Genomic DNA, 8,767 nt, shown 5'->3' with positions numbered 1-8,767 from the left:
AACAAAAAAAACAAGATGAACAAGTGTATCAGGTAAGCCACCATTTGGGTTAAAAAAGCAAGAATATATATGTATCTGTTTCTAAATGCAGCATACATCTCAGGACAAGGGCAGGGGAATTTTTACTAATTACCCCTTTTTTTACTCCATAGACATATTACTGATACATACTCAAATGTTAAAAAATGATCTTTAAACCTGTGGCACAGGGGAAGTGTCAGGAAATGATGACTATTTCTACTGAGAGACAATTCCTCCCTCTTCCCTTCCTTACTGGAGGCCACCTCCCAGCCCGCAGTCCCAGCCTGCAGATCTGGAAAGGAACCCAGTTTTTCTGCATATGGAAGATGGAATGGGATGGAGGTGAGTGGTGACTGTGCAGTGACCCTAGAGAGAAGATCCAGCACTTCCTGCTGGCTGCACCTGGCACCTGGCACCTGGCCCTGGCTTGGCTCTGCATCCTGAGCCAGAGAGACCTCGGTTATTTTTCTAGGAGCAGAAGAATGAGCCAGCCTCCCAAAGGAGACTCCCTGCTCCCAGGAGACAATTTTACAGGAATAGAAATAGGATAGTTAGGATAGTTCTTCAGGAAGCAACAGTCACTAAAATCTCCTGTTAGAAGGAATAGAAGAGGAAGAAGGCAGATAGATGGATACAAAGAAATTCAGACAGAAGGATGGTGAGTAGGACAGAAAGACGGGCAGAATTATCAATTCACGTGTTGCTTTCTTTTTTATTTTATTTTATTTTATTTTATTTTTTGAGACGGAGTCTTGCTCTGTCGCCCAGGCTGGAGTGCAGTGGTGCGATCTCAGCTCACTGCAACCCCTGTCTCCTGGGTTCAAGCGATTCTCTTGCATCAGCCTCCCAAGTAGCTGGGACTACAGGCGTGTACCACCACACCCGGCTAATTTTTTGTATTTTTAGTAGAGATGGGGTTTCAATGTGTTAGCCAGGTTGGTCTCCATCTCCTGACCTGGTGATCCGCCCGCCTTGGCCTCCCAAAGTGCTGGGATTACAGGCGTGAGCCACCGCACCCGGCATGTGTGGCTTTATTTCAAGGAGAGACAGAAATGTCGCCACAGCACCCCCTATGGCCTTTCTCAATCCTAGCACTTTATTTTTACCATTTGTTCTGTTTCTTTTTTTCTTTCTTTTTTCTTTTTTTTTTTTTTTGAGACGGAGTCTTGCTGTGTCACCCAGGCTGGAGTGCAGTGGCACCAATCTCAACTCACTGCAACCTCTCCCTCCCGGGTTCCAGCGATTCTCCTGCCTCAGCCTCCTGAGTAGCTGGGACTACAGGCACACACCACCATGCCCGGCTAATTTTTATGTTTTTTAGTAGAGATGGGGGTTCCACCATATTGGCCAGGCTTGTCTCGAACTCCTGACCTTGTGATCCACCCGCCTCAGCCTCCCAAAGTGCTAGGATTACAGTTGTGAGCCACCGCGCCCGGCCAATTGTTCTATCTGTTTCTCACAGTAGACTATAAGCTTGGTGAGGGCTCCCTTTTACTATTAGGGGGAAAAACAACAACAACTGTCACTTACTGAGAACTTACTCTGAGCCAAACGCTTACCACGTGCCCCTTCATTTACCTTCATCCTCTCTAAGACATCAGTAGGAACCTTCAACTCCATGTTATAGAGAAAAGGACCATGGCTCAGAGGGAAAGTGGAATCTCTCCTCTTTGCTAATTCCCTCCAGCGGCTCATCTTACCCAGCACCACCACCCCTGCCAAGGCAAGGTCAGCCTCCTGACCACTTCCCTGCCTCGTCCAAGTCTTGTGCATCAGCACTCAGAGCAAACCTCTCAGAAAAGGAGGTCTAGGCACATGTTCTCAAGACCTCCTGAGGGCTTTGTCATGGGCCACTCTCACTCATATTTTTTTTTAAGAAATTATATTAATGGGCCGGGCGCAGTGGCTCATGCCTGTAATCCCAGCACTTTGGGAGGCTGAGGTGGGTGGATCACTTGAGGTCAGGAGCTTGAGACCAGCCTGGCCAACATGGCGAAACCCTGTCTCTACTAAAAATACGAAAATTAGCCTGGCATGGTGGTTCATGCCTGTAATCCCAGCTACCAGGGAGGCTGAGGCAGGAGAATCACTGGAACCCAGGAGGCAGAGGTTGCAGTGAGCCGAGATCATGCTACTGCACTCCAGCCTGGGTGACAGAGCAAGACTCCGTCTCAAAAAAAAAAAGTAAATTCCTGGCCCCATCATCTTTGGCCTTAATGCAGGTTGTCCTGATACAAACTGGGACCCCGGACACCCCGCATCTTTTTCCCTTCCTCCCACCCCCACCTACTGTCATTCCACACATTGTCTACAACAGAAATGCTTTGCAAAATGTAAACTTCTAAATAAATGTTAATGCCATAGCCGTGGCTATGTAAGACTTAGAATTGTGGGATTGTTGCCAGGCTCGGTGGCTCACCTGTAATCCCAGCACTTTGGGAGGCCGAGGTGGGCAGATGATGAGGTCAGGAGATGGAGACCATCCTGGCTAACACGGTGAAACCCTATCTCTACGAAAAATACAAAAAATTAGCCAGGCGTGATGGCACATGCCTATAGTCCCAGCTACTCGAGAGGCTGAGGCAGGAGAATCACTTGAACCCAGGAGGCAGAGGTTGCAGTGAGCCGAGATCACGCCATTGCACTCCAGCCTGGGTGACAAGAGCAAAACTCTGTTCCCCCCCGCCCAAAAAAAAAAAGAAAAGAAAAGAAATTGTGGGATTGCAAAATGGACCAAAGGAGAGGGCACTGGACACACCAAAGGAAACGATCAGTTCCTCTCACAACACTTCTGACACCAAATGTGTGTGTGGGTTTTTTCCTCACACCAACTGTATTAGTCCATTCTCACCTTGCTATAAAGAAATACCTGAGACTGGGTAATAAAGAAAAGAGGTTTCATTGGCTCATGATTCTGCACATTGCACAGGAAGCATGGCTGGGGAGGCCTCAGGAAACTTACAATCAAGGCAGAAGGCAAGAGGGGAATGAGATGTCTCACGTGGCAGGAGCAGGAGGAAGAGGCAGAGAATGTGGAGGTACCACCCACTTTTAAACAACCAGATCTCAGGATGAGCACAGTGGCTCCTGCCTGTAATCCCAGCACTTTGGGAGGCCAAGGTGGGCAGATCGCCTGAGGTCAGGAGTTCAAGACCAGCCTGGTCAACATGGTGAAATCCCATCTCTATTAAAAATACAAAAATTAGCAAGTCTGCCATCCCAGCTACTCAGGAGGCTGAGGCATGAGACTCACTTGAACCTGGGAGGCAGAGGTTGCAGTGAGCCTAGATCACGCCACTGCACTCCAGCCTGGGCGACAGAGTGAGACTCCATCTTAAAGAAAAAAAAGAGAGAGAGAGAGAGAGAGCAAGCTCCTGAGAACTCTATCATGAGAACAGCACCAAAGGGGGAAATCCGCCTCCACCTCCATGAACCAATCACCTCCCACCAGGCCCCACCTCCAACACCGGGAATTGCAATTTGACATGAGATTTGGGTGGGGACATAGATCCAAACCATATCACCAACCAGTCTTTCAACTCTCCTGACACCAGCTGGGCGACCTACGATTCAATTCAATTCTGACACTATCTACCTGGAGTAGAGTCAAACTTCACAGATAAAGGGCTCAGTCCCACAAGACTGCCCTCATTTCAGATGCCAGTTGCAAAGCCTACACCTCCAGTGCTTCTGACCGACACGGCTACAAATTGGGGGTTCCCATGACCCTCTCTTCAGGTTTGATAATTTCCTTAAACAGCTCACAGAACTCAGGGAAGCACTTGAATTACATTTACTGGTTTGTTATGAAAGGTACAAATGAACAGCGGGAGGAAGAGAGGCATAGGCCAAGGTATGGGGAAGGGGCTTGGACCTTCCATGCCCTCTCTAGGCATTCCGCAGCACCTCCGCGTGCTCGCTAATCCAGGAGCTCTTCAAATTGTTTAGGATTTTTATGGAGGTTCCATTATGCAGGCACGATTGGTTAAATTCACTGGCCATTGGTAATTGAACTCAACTTCCAGCCTGTCTCCCCTCTCCAGGGATCGGGGTGAGGCTAAAAATTCCAACCCTCTAATCATGTTGTGGGTTTCTCTGACAACCAGCCACCATCCTGAAACTGTCTAGGACCACAGCCACCAGTCAGCTCATAAACTTACAAAAAGAGACTTATCAGTCTGGAAATTCCAAGGGTCTTAAAAGTTCTTGTGTCAGGAACCAGGGATTAAGACTAAACATGGCTGGGCATGGTGGCTCATGCCTGTAATCCCAGCACTTTGGGAGGCCCGGCAGGTGGATCACCTGACATCAGGAGTTCAAGACCAGCCTGGCCAACATGGTGAAACCCTGTCTCTACTAATTCCAAAATTAGCCAGGCGTGGCGGTGGGTGCCTGTGATCCCAGCTACTCAGGAGGCTAAGGCAGGAGAATCGCTTGAACCTGGGAGGCGGAGGTTGCAGTAAGCCAAGATTGTGCCACTGCACTCCAGCCTGGGCGACAGAGTGAGACTCCATCACAAAAAAAAAAAAAAAAAAAAAAGACTAAACATAGCAAAAGATGCTCTTATCACCCCATCACTCAGGAAATTACAAGGGTTTTAGGAGCTGTCTGCCAGCAACCAAGGACAGAGACCAAATATATATTTTTTAAATTATGTCACATGCATCAACAGATGCATACACGTCATTTTAGTTCATTTATAGTAAAAGAATTAGCCGATGTTTTTGCTTCTCTGAATTTTCACAGATCATTGAAGTTTGCTATTAATTTGTTTGCTTTTCTTTTTTTTTAAACCCATTTGGCTGGTTTGCCTAAACAAAACCTTTGGCAAAATGTTTTCTTCCTCTTCCAACACATTCCCTTACTCATCTTAAAGTCCTGGTACCTGCTGATTGATAAAAGATTGCTGTAAAGACCACACCAACACATCCCCTTACTTATCTTAAAGTCCTGGTACCTGCTGATTGCTAAAATGTTGCTGTAAAGACCACAGCTCTTTTATTTGCCAGTAATGATAACCCAGTCTGATTTGCTTAAGAGATAGTGGGCATTCACTGGAAAGACACTGGGTGAGATGCAGCTGAGTTTAGAAGGAGATGGGAGCTGAGGACCAGAGGGAACCGAGGACGGTGGCTCTCTCCTTTTATCTCTTTTCAGCCTCTCTCTGAGGCTTCTTATTCCTTCTCTGTGTCCTGGCTTTCTACTTTCCAGTACAGGCAGCAGAAAATGACTGGCAACAGCAGTAGGCGACAAAGCTAACAGATTTCATTGTTGTTCAGTCTCTTTCTCTGTCTTCCTGTGCTTTTTGGAGCAATTCCTAAATTAGTTATGAACTGTAGCACCATCCACATTTTTGCAAAATTGTTTTTTTCAGACAAGGTCTCACTCTGTCACCCAGGCTGGAGTACAGTGCTGATCATAGCTCACTGCAGCCTCAACCTTCTGGATTCCAGTGATCCTCCCACCTCAGCCTCTTGAGTAGCTGGGACTACAGGTACATACCACAACACTTGGCTAATAAAAAAATAAAAAATAAAAAACTCTATATACACAGGGTCTTAATTTGTTGCCCAGGCTGGTCTCAAGCTTCTGGGTTCAATCAATCCTTCTGCCTCCACCTCCCAAAATGCTTGTATTACAAGCATGAGCCACCACAACCATCCAGTGTTCATATTTTTAATCATGTTTGGGAGACATTTTCGTGGAGGATTCTAGAATTTTCCCATATATGTTACCGCATGAGTAGAAGACATCTGTGTGGGTGCTAGTACGTCTATAAGAATAAAGTGGCTGGGCGTGGTGGCTCACGCTTGTAATCCCAGCACTTTGGGAGGCCATGGAGGACAGATCACCAACTCAGGAGATCGAGACCATCCTGGCTAACACAGTGAAACCCTGTCTCTAATAAAAATACAAAAAAATTAGCTGGGCATGATGGTGGGTGCCTGTAGTCCCAGCTTACTCGGGAGGCTGAGGCAGGAGAATGGTGTGAACCTGGGAGGCAGAGCTTGCAGTAAGCCAAGATCGCACCACTGCACTCCAGCCTGGGCAACAGAGCAAGACTCCGTCTCAAAGGAAAAATAAATAAATAAATAAATAAATAAATAAATAAATAAATAAATAAAAGAATAAAATAAAGCATTCAGACCGGGTGCGGTGGCTCACACCTGTAAATTCCAGCACTTTGGGAGGCCAAGGCAGGCAGATCACTTGAGGTCAGGAGTTCCAGACCAGCCTTGCCAACATAGAGAAACCCCGTCTCTACTAAACATACGAAAATTAGCTGGGCATGGTGGTGTGTGCCTGTAGTTCCAGCTACTCCAGAGGCTGAGGCAGGAGAATCGCTTGCACCCGGGAGGTGAAGGCTACAGTGAGCTGAGATCATGTCACTGCACTCCAGCCTGGGTGACAGAATGAGACCCTGTCTCCATAAATAAATAAATAAATAAATAAATAAATAAGCAGTTGCTGTAGAGTGCTAAGCCTTGCTCCTACCGGGATATCTTCTCCCAAGAGAATCCCTAACTAACAAAGTACTAAGTTCTGTGGCATAGATTCTGAGTAAAGGTTTCTTTCTTCTTCCTCATTAGGAAAAAGTGTTCAGTGATTGCAAAAAAAAAAAAAAAAGTAATTATAATAATGTGTATAAATTCTTCTAAGAGGGCTGGGTGTGATGGCTCACACCTGTAATCCTGGCACTTTGGGAGGCCGGAGGGGATCACAAAGTCAGAAGTTCAAGACTTGCCTGGCCAGTATGGTGAAACCCTGTCTCTACTAAAAATACAAAAATTAGCCGGGTGTGGTGGCGCCTGCCTGTAGTCCCAGCTACTCAGGAGGCTGAGGCAGGAGAATTGCTTGAACCTGCAAGGCAGAGGTTGCAGTAAGCTAAGATCATGCCACTGCACTCCAGCCTGGGCAACAAGAGCAAGACTTCATCTCAAAAAAATAAAATAAATAAATTCTTATAAGAAGCTTGTATTAGGAATGTTTTCGTTTGCAATTAAGAGAATATCCAGGCCAGGCACGGTGGCTCACGTCTGTAATCCCAGCACTTTGGGAGGCAGAGGTGGGCGGAACATGAGGTCAGGAGATCGAGACCATCCTAGCTAACACGATGAAACCCCATCTCTACTAAAAATACAAAAATTAGCCGGGCGTGGTGGCAGGCACCTGTAATCCCAGCTGCTCAGGAGGCTGAGGCAGGAGAATCGCTGGAACCCGGGAGGCAGAGGTTGCAGTGAGCCGAGATCTCACCACTGTACTCCAGTCTGGGTGACAGAGTCAGACTCCATCTCAAAAGCTTTGACCTCTGATAACATCCAGAAAAAAACATTCTTCCCCTCAGATCCAAGAAGATGAAGACATGATCAAAACCTGAATGCTGGACTATTTCAGAAGTGAGGGGTCCCTTGGCCTGAAAGATCCAGGGCTAGGATCTGCCTCAACATACCTTATTGTAAATGGTCAAATTTTTTTTTTTTGGAAACGGGGTCTTGCTCTGTCGCCCAGGCTGGAGTGCAGAGGCGCAATCTCGGCTCACTGAAAGCTCCGCCTCCCGGGTTCATGCCATTCTCCTGCCTCAGCCTCCCGAGTAGCTGGGACTACAGGTGCCCGCCACCACGCCTGGCTAATTTTTTGTATTTTTAGTAGAGACAGGGCTTCACCACGTTAGCCAGGATGGTCTCGATCTCCTGACCTCGTGATCCACCCGTCTCGGCCTCCCAAAGTGCTGGGATTACAGGCGTGAGCCACCGCGCCCGGCCTCGTAAATGGTCAAATTTGAAGTCCTCCAATCAGACTCTGCCAAGCCGACATTTTCAAATCCTTTCCTTTGCCCTCTGGTCCATTAAAACTTGCCCCAGGCCCCAAATAGAGGAGACAGATTTGAGCCTGACTCCTGTCTCCTTGCTGGCTGATTTTGCAATAAAACCTTTTTCATTTTTTCAAAAGCCAGTGCTGTAGTTATTGGCTTCTGTGCACATCAGGAAGCGAGCCCATTTGCTCCATAATAAATTGACAAAAGCAGATCAATGAAGAAAAAAGGATCCACAATTTATTCATGTGCCTATGAACACATGAGCCATACACAAAGCATGAGACTCGAAGAGAGACCAGGTGGTTGAAAATTAAATATTCTCTTCATGGCCGGGCACGGTGGCTCATGCCCGCAATCCCAGCACTTTGGGAGGCTGAGGCGGGCAGATCAGGAGTTCAAGATCAGCCTGGCCAACATGGCAAAACCCCGTCTTTACTAAAAATACAAAAATTAGCCAGTCATGGTGGCGCATGCCTGTAATCTCAGCTACTCGGGAGGCGGAGGCAGGAGATTCACTTGAACCCAGGAGGCAGAGGTTGCAGTGAGCCGAGTTTGTGCCACTGCACTCCAGCCTGGATGACAAAGCAAGACTCTGTCTCAAAAAAAAAAAAAAAAAAAACTCTCTTCATAGGAGAGATGTATGGACCTGGAGACAGATATTATTTTGAAAGTGATTCTCTTTGCAAGCTGGATGAGACAGACAGGTTTGATGTACCAGGTGAGGGGTGGAACTGCACAGGAACAAATATTGGCTTATTATGCAGGTAAAAGTCCTCCAGGTAATCCCTTAGAGCTGCCCTCAGAAGAACAGATGAAAAGTCTGGATGTGGTGACGACTCCCAGTCTCTTCTGGTTACTTGATGAGATTCCTAGGGAAGGTGTCTTAGACAATTGCATTTCTTTGGAGATAAGTGTTCTTAGATAAGGACA

The 8,767-nt window shown here is 47.0% G+C and overlaps 1 annotated feature.

Annotated features, from left to right (window-relative positions):
• Positions 7,767-8,267: an enhancer, noted in NCBI's record as "H3K4me1 hESC enhancer chr16:18983611-18984111 (GRCh37/hg19 assembly coordinates)". NCBI's record gives its function as "activates a minimal SCP1, AML or CMV promoter by ChIP-STARR-seq in naive H9 embryonic stem cells {active_cell/tissue: H9 hESC(naive)}" and the evidence as "EXISTENCE:reporter gene assay evidence [ECO:0000049][PMID:30033119]".

Source organism: Homo sapiens, chromosome 16, assembly GCF_000001405.40.
Source record: "Homo sapiens chromosome 16, GRCh38.p14 Primary Assembly".
Lineage (NCBI taxonomy): Eukaryota > Metazoa > Chordata > Mammalia > Primates > Hominidae > Homo > Homo sapiens.
Note: the sequence above shows the minus strand (reverse complement) of the source record. Positions and strands in the feature narration are given on the sequence as shown.